We start from the raw sequence: 15,051 nt of genomic DNA, 5'->3' as shown, positions 1-15,051 counted from the left end.
CAGAGCTTTGTTAGATACTTCATCATGAAAAGAGAAACAGATACCGGTCGTCTGTCAAGGCACAAACCTACAAAATCTGTAGATTTCCTTAACCATTTCACTGATCATGGTCACCAAAGCTGATCACAAGCAGCACTTTCTAGATCAGTTTATCAGAGAAAACAATAATGCTTTGATCAATGATATAGTTCCGTTGTGCTTCCACCCACATTTCATCTTGAATTGCAGTTCCCATAATTCCCTTGTGTGGTGGGAGGGACCCAGTGGGAGATAACTGGATCATGGGACTGTTTCTCACATACTGTTCTTGTGGTAGTGAATAAGTCTCATGAGGTCTGAAGGTTTTATAAGGGGTTTCTCCTTTCACTTGGCTCTCATTCTCTCTTGCCTGTTGCCATGTAAGATGTGCCTTTTGCCTTCGATCATGATTGTGAGGCTTCCCCAGCCACATGGAACTGTGAGTCCGTTAAACTTCTATTTCTTTATAAATTACCCAGTCTTATGTATGTCTTTATCAGCAGCATGAAAATGGACTAATACAATAAACTACACCATTGCAGTCAGGGGTGTCGTTCATGTAAGACCTGAACTGATTTTATGGCTATGATACAAATAATCTCTTGTTAATTAAAGAAGAAAAAGGAGGAAGATAAGAACTGCTGCTCTTCTCAATAGAGGCAGTGAAAGCTAACAAGATTTAGTTGGTAAACTCCAAATCATAATTTTTACTTTAAAAACTATTTTCTGATAGTTGTTAAATGTAACTTAAATTCAGTATCACCAATAGTGCTTACAGGAGACACTGTAAGGTGTTGAGAGTAATTAAGTAACATTAATAATTTTTCAAATTACTCAAATTAATCTGCAAATAAAATAAAGAAATGTGATTAACATTTATGCTGTGTCAGATCATTTACAAAATAAAAATTTTTGATCAAAATTTTTATAGCTGGGTTTTAACCAGCAACGCAAATTATAGGAGTAAGTAGGTTTAGTAAATATTTTGATTTTAATTATAATTAGTTTTACCTACAGCATCAGTTTTACTAATAATGCATTTCAATAATGTTCATTTGCTTATAATTTTATTTTTATGTAGAGTATATTCAATTTCCATTATATATAATACCTCTACATGTGTGTAATTATTAATACATGTATATAATTATGCCTTATCAACACTAAAGCTCTGTTCTAAAATCAAAATGTTAAAATATAGAGTTACATTAAAAGGCATTACCTTCTGAAATTACACAAGAAAAGTTTTTTCATTTACCTCTGTGATGGTTAGTGTAAAAGAGCAACCAGAATTATGGCAATATTTCTGTAAAAATGAATAAGCTATGAGAATAAGAGCTATTTGCCAAACAAATTAAGTGAAAACCAGAGAACTTTGTTTTTTTGATTTTTTGCATTACACAGAAATATTGAAATTATTTTACTTCATTCACACATTCATTTTGTTATATATTTTCTGTTCTGAGAAACTTATGAGTTATCTTGTCAGAATGATTTTTGAGAAGTTTAATAATAATGAGAAAGTGTGAAATGACCTAAGAGAGTAGAAAGAGGAATGGAATAAAAGTATATAGAATTTCCACATAGTACTGGGGCTTCTAACTACAAATAAATGCATCTTCTTGAGGGAATAGGTTATGTATTAACTCCTTTTGTGTATCCACAATATTGGTAGAGTATCTACCACATGACTTTTACTAAGTATTTGTTGAATTAAATTGAATGAAAATGAATGCTGCATCATTTTTACTTAACCCTGACCTAATAATATATGACTTCTCATGTTTATCTACAATTATATTATAGGAAGAAAGAAAAAAAATTACATTTGTTGTCTTGATTCATTTTTACCACTACTGCTGGGACATAGATCAGAAGTCCTGGTGTTTGACAATATTGCTCTGTTTCTATTATATCTCTCTTTTTGGGGGTGGAATTTGCTGGTGTCCATTCTTACAAAGGCATTTGCAAGCTTAGAGGAAGAGAGGACTGTCTTTGCTTGTGTCATCTCTATGGTGACCAACTTAGGTGATTCTATAAAAGAAAACCAAACAGTTTACAAGGATTTCCTTTCAGAACTTATTCTTGAGGTTGTACTGCTGGACTCAATTTATCTAACCCTTCTATCACTCAACTTTCTCTTCCATATTTAAAATGGGCTTCCTCTCTCAAATATCCTTGAACTTTAATTGCCTGTTGTCAGCAGACTATTCTAGTGAGAGAAAGAAAAAAGCTGTCTTCATTTTTTCTCTTTTCCCTAATATCACCTCCAGGGTTCATTTCATGACACTCACAACCTAAGAACAGCCTGCCTAGGGGTCAGGGTATGATAATTATTCATTATAAGTACCCCTGGGGTTTTTTGAGCAGTCCTGATGACACTAGCTCATGACCATTGAATCAAATTAAATTGTAATTTTAAATATCATGCCAAACCTAATTTTATGTAGTAATTAAAATGACTTACAGCTCTCTCATTTTTCACTTTTTCTCTCTTTACTGAACACCTCATGCACTGCATTGTGCTTAGCAGAAGAGAAAGATAATATTGAGAAGTATCTTATGAGATCCTTTTCCTCAGGACATTTACAATGTTAATAGGGTGACAAGAAATGTGTGCATAAGATTTTTAAAACGTCTGCCAAATTTTTGTATAATAATGAAGTCCAGAGAATTACATTTTTGGCATAGATGAGTTTAGTTTAAATAGTGTCAGTTAAATGGTGTCAGATGATAGAAATGCAGTCAAGTGGAAAAGTCCTGCAGGCAGTAGAAAATGCAGGACTAGAGTTCGAAGAATGGTAAAAACTAGAGATTAAGATGAATTATTCTGTTGCATAGAAGTGGGTGAGTTTTTAAGGAAGCTCATCTCCATGAGAAAAATAAACAGTGGAGATGTATTTTAATAAGATGCATTCAATAAGATGACTGAAGACTGTTGAGATCTTTGAGTCAAAGCATGGATTATAACTTAGTTCTATATCTGCTATAAAATAAGTTTTGACCGCTGGTACCATCAAAAGATCAACAATAACAAAGAAAACTGTTCACCAAAGAAAGGTAAGTAAATTATTCTTACTGAAAAGAAGAGTCTTGAGTCTGCAGCATTTCAGAACGGAATGGACAGAGGAGGGTATTTACAAGATGCCTACACCTGTGATACTGCAGATTATTTCTGTTCATTCAAAGAAAGAAGATAATTAGGTTTGTGCAAAGATGGTGACATAATTAAGATTGGTGGACACAGTTAGATAATGGCCTTGATAAGTAAACTGTTGTAAAATAAGCAAGCTGTTTGGACAGGTTAGCAATCTATTGCCTGAGGGGAGACTTGCTTGCCTAAATTATCTAACTCTTTACTTGAGGAAAAATAATATGGCTTTGAAAAAATTTCTTAGGAAAATGTAAAATTGTTTACTAATTTATAGGCTTATTTTCCTAGGTAAACATTTCTGCACCAAATACATAAGTTATGCCAACACCCGCACCACTGATTGAGTGTTGGGGCCAGTAGACTAGGAACACCTTGGCCCCTATAGCATAGCAGATTTCTAACCTTGGGGGTCCAGAAAACAAAGCCAGAGCTCAGTACCAGCTCCCGATAGTTGGAACACACAACCAAGGAGTGCTGAGCCGAGCCTTGACCCACTAGAATCTTCCAGAAATGAAGACTGTAACCCACTTTATACCACCATAAAACCCCCAACAGCATCAAATAAGATAAAAGCAAAAAACTTATCCAAAGGATAGCATCTGCAAAGACTGAAGAAACTTCAGCACACGGATATGAGAAAGAACCAGCACAAGAACAACGACAGCTCAAATAGCCAGAGTGTCTTTTTTTCCTCCAAATACCCACATTATTTCCCCAGCAATGATTCTTAACCAGGCTAAAATGGCTGAAATGACAGACAGAGAATTCAAAATCTGGATAGGAATGATGATCGTCAAGATTTAATAAACAGTCAAAATCCAATCCAAGGACTATAAGAATACAACAGAATAATAAAGAAGCTGAAAGAAGTAATGGGCATTTTGAGAAGGAACTAAACTGATTTGATGGAGCTGAAAAACTCACTTCAAATTTTATAATACAATTGCAAGAATTAACAGTAGAATTAACCAAGTTGATGACAGAATATCAGAGATTAAAGACTTCTCCAAAACAACTCAGTCAGAAAAAAACAGAAAAAAAAGAAAAATGAAGAATACCTCTGAGAAATACGACACTATATAAAGAGATTAAAATCTATGACTCATTGGCATTCCTGAAGCAGAGGGAGAGAATGCAAGCAACTTGGAAAACATATTTGCCGATAAAGTTTGTAAAAATGTCCCCAACCACACTAGAAGACTAACACTCAAATTCAGGATATGCAGAGGACCCCTGTGAGATACTACACAAGATGACCATACCCAAGACACATAGTCATCAGGTTCTCCAACATTGAAATGTAAGAAAAAAATGTTAAATGCAGCTAGAGAAACAGGCAGGTCACCTACAAAAGGAACTCCATCAGGCTAACAGCAGAATTTTCAGCAGAAACCCTACAAGCCAGAAGAGTTTGTGGGTCTACTTTTAGCATTCTTAAGGAAAAGAAATTCCAACCAAGAATTTCATTTCCAGTCAAACTAAGTTTCATAAGTGAAGGAGAAATGAGATTCTTTTCAGATAAGCAAATGCTAAGCGAATTTGTTAGTACCAGACCTGTCTTACAGGAGGTCCTTAAGGGTGTACTAAATATAAAAAGGAAAGACCGTTCCGGGACAACACAAAATACAGTTTAAGTACATAGACCATTGGCATTATAAAACAACTATACAATCAAGTCTGCATAATAAATAGCTAACAATATGAAGACATGATCAAATCCACAAATATCAATATTAAACTTGAATGTAAATGGGATAGATGCCTCAATTAAAAGGCACAGAGTGGAAAGTTGGATAAAGCAAGAACCAACTGTGTGATGTCTTTAAGAGATCCATCTCACATGCAATGATACCCATGGGTTCAAAGTAAAGGGATGGAGACAGGTCTCATAAGCAAATGGAAAACCATCAAGAGCAAAAGTTGCTATTCTTATTTCAGACAAACCAGGCTTTAAACCAATAATTATCAGAAAGAACAAAGGAGAACATTTCATAATGGTAAAGGGTTCAATTCAACAAGAAGACCTAGCTATCCTAAATGTACATGCATCCAACACTGTAGAACCTAGATTCATAAAACAAATTCTTAGAGACCTGCAAAGAGACTTAGAAGACCACACAATAATAGTGGGAGACTTCAATAACTTACAAAGAGTAATAGACAGGATAGAGAGGCAGAAAGATAAAAAAAATATTCAGGACCTGAGTTTGACACCTGACCAAATGAAGCTAACTGACATCTACAGAACTCTCCACCCAAAACCAACAGAATATAGATTCTTCTCATCTGTATATGGCACATACTATAAAATTATCCACATAATTGGTCATTAAACAATTATCAGCAAACTTTTAAAAACTAAAAACATACCAGCCACACTCTCAGACCACAGTGCAATAATAATGGGTATCAATAATGAAAGCATCACTCAAAACAATACAATTATATGGAAATTAAACAGCCTTGCCTTAGTGACTTTCGGGTCAACAAAAAAATTAAGACAGCAATCAATAAATTATTTGGAACTAATGAGAACAAAAATACAACATATCGCAACCTCTGGGACACAGCTAAAGTAATGTGAAGACAGAAGTTTATAGCACTAAACAGCCACATTGAAAAATTAGAAAGACAAACTTGCAACATAATATGACACTTGGAGAACTAGAGAAACAAGAGCAAACCAACCTCAAAGCTATCAGAAGGAGAGAAAAAAAATTAGAGCTGAACTAAAATGTGAAAAACTATAGAAAAGATCAATGAACCTATGAATTTATTTTTTGAAAGATAAATAAGATTGATAGGCTGCTACCTAGACTAATGAAAAATAGAAAGATCCAAATAAACACAATCAGAAATGACAAAGGGGACATTACCACCAACCCCACAGAAATACAAAAAAAAAAAAAAAAACCAAAAACTGAGAGACTACTGATTACTATGAACACCTCTATGCACACAATCTAGAAAACCTGAAAGAAATAGATGATAACTTAATGAAACATACAACTCCCCAAGATAGAAAAGGGAAGAAATTGAATTCCTGAACAAACCAATAATGAGTTCCCAAATGGAATACATAATAAAAAAAAAAGTTACCAACCAGAAAAAGCACAAGACCAGATAAATTCACAGCCAAATTCTACCACATGTATAAAGAAGAATTGATACCATTAATATTGAAAGTATTCCAAAAACTTGACTAGGGGGGAATCCTCCTGAAGTCATTTGGTGAGGTCAGCATCATTCTTATACCAAAACCTAGCAGAGACAAACACACAAAAAAGGAAAATTTCAGGCCAATATCCTTGAAGAACATAGATACAAACATACTCAACAGAATTCTAGTAAACTGAATCCAGCAGCAAATGAAAAAGCTAATTCATCACAATCAAGTAGACTTTATTAATAAGATGTGAGGTTGATTCAACACACAAATCAATAAATATTATTCATCACATTAAAAAAAGTGAAAACAAAAACTACATGATCATCTCAATAGACTAAGGAAAGGTTTTCAGTAAAATTTATCCTTTATGTTAAAAACTGTCAACTGACTAAGTATTGAAGGAACACACCTCAAAATAATAAGAGCCATCTGTGACAAACTTACAGCCAACATCATACTATATGGGCAAAAGCTGGAATAATTCTCCTTAAGAACTGGAAAAAGAAAAGATACTGACTCTTACTACTTCTATTCATCATAGTACTAGAAGTACTAGTCAGAGAAATCAGGCAAGGGAAAGTAATAAAAGGCATGCAAATAGGAAGATAGAAAGTCACATTATCTCTTTTCACTGATTATTTGTTTCTATACTGAGAAAACCCCATAATCTCTGCCCTAAAGATCCTTGATCTCATAAACAACTTCAGTGAAGTTTCAGGATACAAAATTAATGCACAAATATCAGTAGCATTTTCAACAGCAAACAATGTACAAGCTTAAAGCCAAGTCAAGACACAATTTCATTCACAATAGCCACAAAATAATTAAATACCTAAGAATACAGCTAACAAAGGAGGTGAAAGATCTCTACAATGAGGATTACAAAATACTGTGCAAAGAAATTGGAGATGACTGAAACAAAGGGAAAAACAGTTCATATATGTTAATAGGAAGATTCATTATTGTTAAAATGGCCATACTGCCAAAAGCAATTTATAATTTAATGCTATTCATATCAAACTACCAATGACATTCTTCACATAATTCGAAAAAACTATACTAAATTTCATATGAGTCCACAAAAGAGCCCAAATAGCCAAAGCAATCCTAAGCCAAAAAACAAAAACAAAGAACAAAACAAAGCTGGAGGCATCACATCTCCCAACTTCAAACTATACTATAAGGTTATAATAACCAAAACAGCATGGTACTGGTACAAAGACAGGCAGATAGGCCAGTAGAACACAATAGAGAGCTTAGAAATAAGGCCACACACTTACAACCATTTGATCTTCCACAAAGTTGGCAAAAGTAAGCAATGAGGAAAGGACTTCCTATTTAATAAATGTTGTTGGGATAACTGGCTAGCCATATGCAGAAGATGGAAACTGGACCCCTTCCTTCCTTCCTTCCTACCTTACACAATATACAAACGTAAACTTAAGATGAATTAAAGACGTAAGTTTAAAACCTAAAATTATAAAAGCCTTGGAAGATAAACTAGATAAAACCATTCTGGACATAGGCCCTGGCAAAAACTTTATAATGAAAACACCAAAAGTAACTGTAACAAAAAGAAAAATTGACAAATGGGACCTAATTAAGCTAAAGAACTGCAAAGCAGAAAAAAAAATCAATAGAATAAATAGAAAACCTACAAATGGGAGAAAATACTTGCAAACTATGCATGTGACAAAAGTTTAATATCCAGAATCTATAAGGAACTGGAACAAATTTACAAGCAAAAACCAAACCACCACAGCAAAAAGTGGGCAGAGGACACTAACACTTTTCAAAAGAAAATGTGTGTGGCCACAAAACATCTAAAGAAACGTTCAACATCACTAATCATTAGAGAAATACAAATCAGAACCACAATGTGATACCATTCACACCAATAAGAATGGCTGTTATTGAATAAAGTTAAAAAAAGAACAGATGCTGGAACAGAGAAGAGGGAATGCTTATACACGGCTGGTTGGAATGAGTATTAGTTCAGCCACTGTGGAAAGCAGTTTGGCAAATTTATCAGAGAACTTAAAACAGAGTTACCATTTGACTCAGCCATCCCTGTATTGGGTATATACCCAAAGGAATATAAATTGTTCTACCATCAAGATGGTATTCATCCTGATGAAAACCAAAAGGTAGTTTAATATGAATAGCGTTGAATTGATGTCTACAATCACCACATATGTTCATTGCAGCACTATTTACAATAGCAAATACATGAAATCAATGTAAATACCCATCAGCAATAGACTGGATTTTAAAAATTTGGTACATGTATACCATGCAATACTATGCAGCCATAAAAAAAAAAAAAACAAAAAAAACAAAAAAAAAAAAACAAGATAATGTCCTTTACAGCAACAAGGATGTAGCTGGAGGTCATTATCCTAAGTGAATTAACATAGAAACAGAAAACCAAACACTGCATGTTCTCTCTGGTAAGTGAGAGCTAAACATTGAGTACATATGGACACAAAGAAGCAAACAACAGACACTGGGGTCTACTAGAGAGTGAAGGTTGGGAGGAGGGTGAGTATCCAAAAACTACCTATCGGGTGCTATGCATATTACCTGGGTGACAAAATAATCCGTACACCAAGCTCCTGCAACACACAGTTTACCAATATAACAAACCTGCACATGTACCCCCAAACACAAAACAAAAATTAAAAATAAAAGTACTTAGGGCAATGCTTGACTTATGAAAATCAATTTGATAAATTTTGTAATATTATTGTTATAATATTATTGTTATAGTAATATTATTGTTATAAATCAAAAATTTGGTGTTTATATTGCTTGTTATTCTTTCAACTTCCTGGATTTGATAGGATTTTATCTGTAAATAATTTTGGAAAGTTTTCATACATTACAACTTGGAATATGTCTTCCTGTCTCTTTCTTCTGGTTCTGATAATCCAATTCTGTTTATGAAACACCTTTTGAAATCATCCCATGTTCGTGGATGTTGAGTTCTCTCTTACATTATTATTCTTTCTGTCTTTAAATTTTACTTTACAAAATTGTATTGTAATTTCAAGCCCACTGAATCATTCCTCAATTTTGTCAAATCTATTGTTGAGCAATAGAAGGGATTCTTCATTTTCGTCGGGATGTTTTTTATTTCTAGCATTTTCTTTTTATTCTTTCTTACAGTTTCCATCTCTCTGTTTTCATTACCCATATGATCTTGAACTTGTTTCTTTTACTTTTCACTAAAGCCTTCAGCACATTGATTATTGTTATTTTAAATCCCTCATCTGATAATTATATCTGTATCATATCATAGTCTTGTTCTGTTAATTGTATTATTTCCCCCAAGGATATTTTTTCTTGCCTTTGGCATTCCATCTAATTTGTGTTGAATGCTTGACATTTTTTACCTGTAATATTAACTGAGGTAAATAGGCTTTTTATATTAGTATTGATGTAAATCTTGCTAGAGATGGGCTAGTTTAAGTTTTGTTGTAGCTATAGGTGCCAGTGGTTTACAGTTTTCTAATGTTTTTATTTTAGTCTCTTATTGATTTTTGGCTTCCCTAAGTACTCCTCAGTGACAATACATGTCTTGCAGCTCTTTAAGCTTCAATCCTTAGTTATTACACTGCATTGCTTTGGTGACAAATTGTCGGGGAGGAATGAGGCCATCTTAATTCTAAATCTTCAGTAGTTGAATGGGCATGTATCTTGAGAATACATTTTTTTAAATCTCCCTTCTCCCTAGTCCCCTCATTTGTTCAGTATTCCCGATCTATTTCCTTGAAGCTCTGACTCCTTTTCACTATTGTTTTTTGACACTGGCCCAATATTCCTACATGCCTGACACCCAAAAAACTGAAGCTTGAGAAACTTACTTATGTACAATGAGATACATCTGGCCCAGGGGGCAGTGGCTCATGCCTGTAATCCAAGCACTTTGGGAGGCCAAGGTGGGCAGATCACATGAGGTCAAGAGCTTCAGATTAGCCTAGCCAACATGGTCAAAACCCATCTCTACCAAAAATACAAAAATTAGCCAGGCATGGTGGCGGGGACCTGTAATCCCAGATACTCTGGAGGCTGAGGCAGGAGAATCGCTTGAACTCAGGAGGCGGAGATTGCAGTGAGCCGGGATCATGCCACTGCACTCCAGCCTGGGCGACAGAGTGAGACTCTGTCTCGAAAAAGAAAAAAGAGATCTATCTGCTGCCTGCTGCCCTCTTCCTTACCCCTCATTAATTCCTGTTTTTTCATATGTGGCTACAATAAGATGCTAAACCCCTCATTGGACCACCTGCTGTCTTTGACCAACTCCTCTTCCTTGCCTCTCTAGTTTTCCTCCCCCACTCTGTAAATCCCAAACATTAGTAGTTAAAGAAAGGATAATTTGGGTCTTGCCTCCCATCTCTCGAGCTGACGTTACCCATAATAAAGCCATCTTTCCTGGCAATACTCATAATCTCAGTGGTTGGCTTTCTGTGCAGTCAGCCCTAGCGTTTGTTTACATTTTCACCCACAGGTGATGTAGGAAGCCTAGCGGGGACTAGATTGGGAAGAATGCCTTTCCCTCTGCTTGAAAAAGACACTGGAGAAGTCTTTTTCCATAGAGAATAGACGTTTGTTAGAGAGAAGCCTCTAGGCATGTTTCACAATTAATTTCCCTCACCAGCAGGAGTCAACAATGGCATCTTTCTTAGACCTTCTCAGTGATAAATTGTTGATGTTACTAGAGATGATGCCCACCAAGGGTTGAAACTGTGGCCTCTGGGAATTTCTCACAGTGGACCACACTCAGTTTCCATCAATTGATAAAAATTAGTGTTGAAATACTTCTATCAGTTTATGGCTCAGTGATTTGCTTCAGTAAGCTGATCTCGACTATGACTCCATGGATGCACCTGTGTCTCCAGATTTTGGCACAGCATTCTGCTCTACAACCTCATTTATCTGAAGGATTTAAAATTTTGTGTCTTAAAATTCATCTACTTGTTCTTTTTGTAAAGATGCTCATGTTTATCGTAGACTTAAAAATTACCCCTCAAAGATGTTCATGTCGTAACTCCTGGAAACTCTGAATGTTATATGGCAGAGGCTCTTTTAATATCTGATTAAGTTAAGAATCTTGAGATGCAGAGATTATATTGGGTTATTCATGTGAGTATGATGTAATCACAAAGGATCTTAGAAGAGGGAGGCAGGAGTTCAGAGTCTGTAGTAGGTGTGATGATGGATGTGATAGGTTAAAGTGATGTGAAGAAGTGTCCACAAGCCAAATAATATAGGCAGCCACTAGGAGGTAAAAGGGCAAGAAAATAGATTCTTCCCTTCAAAGCTTGAAGAAGGAATTTACCCCGTTGACACTTGTTTTTAGCTTCGTGAGGCTGATTTTTGAACCTCTGACTCCAGAGATGTAAGACAAATTTACACTGTTTTAAGGCGCTGTGTTTGTTGTAATTTCTTATACCAGCAATAGGAAACTAATTTAACTTCTAAGTTCTTTATATGTCACAGTAAAATTGAAAGTCCTAGAGAGAGTATTTATTTCTTCCCATATTGAGAACATCTGGTGCTTGTAGAGATATGGAAGTAGGTGTGATCAGGTAGCACAATAGCAAGAATGCATGCCTGAAAAATGCTTTTCAAATCTGGCTGCCAAGTTAGAATTACTCAGAGAACCCATAGTAGAACAAACTGGAGTAGGCAGAATTCTAAGGATGTTTTCCAAAATTCCCATCTTTTGGTTATTCAAGCAAACACTCGTCTAGGTACTGCTGTAAAAAAGACTTTAGGTGAAAATAAGTTACCAATCAGCTCACCTTAAAATAAGGTGATGGTCTTAGGTTATCCAGGTGGGCACAAGGTAATTACATGGGCCTGAAACAAGCAGGAGAGGATGGAAAAGAATCAGAGTGATGTGGATGAAAGAGTAGGAGAGATGAAGCAGTGGGGTCCGGGGGAGGGCAGACCATGGAGATTGGATGCAGGAAAAGGGTTCAACTTGGCATCATGAGCTTTGAAGAGGGATAAGCAGTCACCACCTAGGGAATGTGGGTGGACTCTAGGATTTGGGAACAGTCTGTAGCTTACAGCTAGCCAAGGACACAAGGATCTCACTCCTATTACCCTCTTCAAGCAATTGAATTCCACCAGCAACCTGACTGAGTAAGGAAATGGATTCATCCCCAAAGCCTCTAGGATACTACTTGCTGACACCTGGCTTTCAGTCCTGTGAGACTAACCAGAGAAACCAGCCAAGCCACATTACACCTAGATGTCTGAACTACAGAACAATGAGATAATACATTTGTGTTTAAACCACTACGTTTTGGAAATCTGTTATGACAGCAATAGAAAACTAATATACAAACAATACAATACCTGACTTCATCTCAGACCAGTTCAAATATAATCTATTTGTAGGAGCTTGGGTGTGTTTTAAATTTATTTTTTTCTTGTACAAAAAACATCCTCAGATAATTTGGGTAAATGGTAAGAACCACTGCTAGGTTGACCAGCTTGTCGTGTTTTGGCCATGGATTTTTCTTACTTTTACCATTCTTGAGAAAGCCCTTAGTCCTATGTTAATGGAGACATTTGGTCACCTTATATCCACTGCCCTAAGTGAAACAAAAGCTGTATTGAATGTATAAGAGGCTTTTGACATTTTATCTTGGAAATACCTTTTAAAATCCTTCTAATTCCTCTTCAAATCATTTCTTTCATAACTAATCATGCAATTCTTCCCCTGCCTTCACAATGATTATTTGTCTATTGAACTTCTGTTTCTTCAAGCATTTTTGTGTAATTATGTAGATGTCTGGAACCTAACTAAAACTTTTACTGAATATCTTTGTTTCCTTGTAGGAAGTCCAGCCTTGTCATTTCACTTGCACACTTTTTTTTTCTTTTTCTTTTTCTTTTTTTTATTTTTTTTGAGATGGAGTTTCCCTCTTGTCACCCACGCTGGAGTGCAATGGCAAGAGCTCAGCTCATTGCAACCTCTGCCTCCTGGGTTCAAGTGATTCTGTGGCCTCAGCCTCCTGAGTAGCTGGGACTATAGGCATGTGCCACCATGCCTGGCTCATTTTTATATTATTAGTAAAGATGGGGTTTCACCATGTTGACCAGGCTAGTCTCGAACTCCTGACCTCAGATGATCCACCCACCTTGGCTTCCCAGAGTGTTCGGATTACAGGCGTGAGCCACCGTACCCAGCCTCATTTGCACACTTCTTATCAGCTATTATGAGTTGAGACTTTATTGAAACTTACCATTTATAAGTATATCAAACTTTGTATTTCCACATATAACAGCATTTCAATCAAGCAAAGATGCAATACCTCTCCAATTTACACTGAATAGCGATTCAGACATTTATGAATTGTTTTTACTATCTCTAAAAGAAAATCAGCATTCAATATTATGAAATATGAAATATTTAAACGTGTAATTTAAACATATTTGTCTTTTTCATTTGTTGGTGACTAAACACTTGTGGTTTATCTTAAACATGAGTTTTTATTCATTTGTATTTGACTAGTCATCAAAGAATCATCTTTTGTAATGAAAAACATATATCATAAAAGCAACTATTTCTGTTAATAGCTATATATACTATAAGTGCTCCCTTCAGTGATCACTTCACTCTTTACATTTTCTATTAAAACGTTTGTGCTAACCTGTATTCAAAGGAGCATATGTCAATTACTTGATACTTCTAAATGCATCTTTAGCACAAAAATGACAAGGACATTCATGTGGGACAGTTTACGTGTTTATACACTAGAATAAAATTTAGGAAAAAATTACAAATCAGGACAATTCATATGTCCAATTGATGAATTTGAGCTATATAATCTAAACAAATTAAAACGTAAAAGTAAACTCTGTAAGCAAGTACCAATTAAGATTTTTCCATTCATAAGTGGCAATCACATAGTAAAGATGAGAAGAAAGTCAAGTCATTTTGTTTTTGCTAAAGCCATCAAATACAACTTTGATTAGAGGAATTATAGGCACTAAAATTAATACAAGAAACTCTCATTTTTATTTGAGGATACCTTAACCTGTCCTCTGTCATATTCTTCAGGTGGATCTCAATAGTCATTAGGTTTTATTTTATACAAAAAGTCCTTAAGGCAGAATACCTACTTCAAAAATTGTTATACTTCATGTTAAATATTAACTTTTTCAAATGTATGTTCTATTTGTGTATTTTATGCTTACTCTTTGAAAAAGTGAAATGAGGTTAGAAATTATATTTGCCTTTATGTCATATCCTTTCTATATAAATAAACATGATGATTTTGGCTCAATTGATTTTTAGCTCAAGGAAATATAAATATAGAATGGATATGAATATCCTGTATTATTTTAACCAAAATCTCTCTCTAGTCTCAGTTTAGATTGATTGAATCTTATCTTTTTTTAAACTACTTCCAAAAATACCTTAAAATTTCTTTTTTCGAAGGACATTTAGTTATGACACACTCAGATCAAGTATTTGCTGAATAATTTAATAATTTTTTCACCTTAGGGAGGATTATGTCAATATTATTATATTTGATTAAGATAGTTCACAAGTTTGACCACTGTCTAAACATAGGACTTTGTATCAAATTGGATTTCCCATGCATGTCTCCACAATGACGTGTTCAAATGACCTGAACATATTTAATTTGCTCATTGTGATAGGCTTGGCCAAACCACAAGACTGAAT

Source organism: Homo sapiens, chromosome 21, assembly GCF_000001405.40.
Source record: "Homo sapiens chromosome 21, GRCh38.p14 Primary Assembly".
NCBI classification, from domain to species: domain Eukaryota; kingdom Metazoa; phylum Chordata; class Mammalia; order Primates; family Hominidae; genus Homo; species Homo sapiens.
This window is presented reverse-complemented; position numbering follows the sequence as displayed.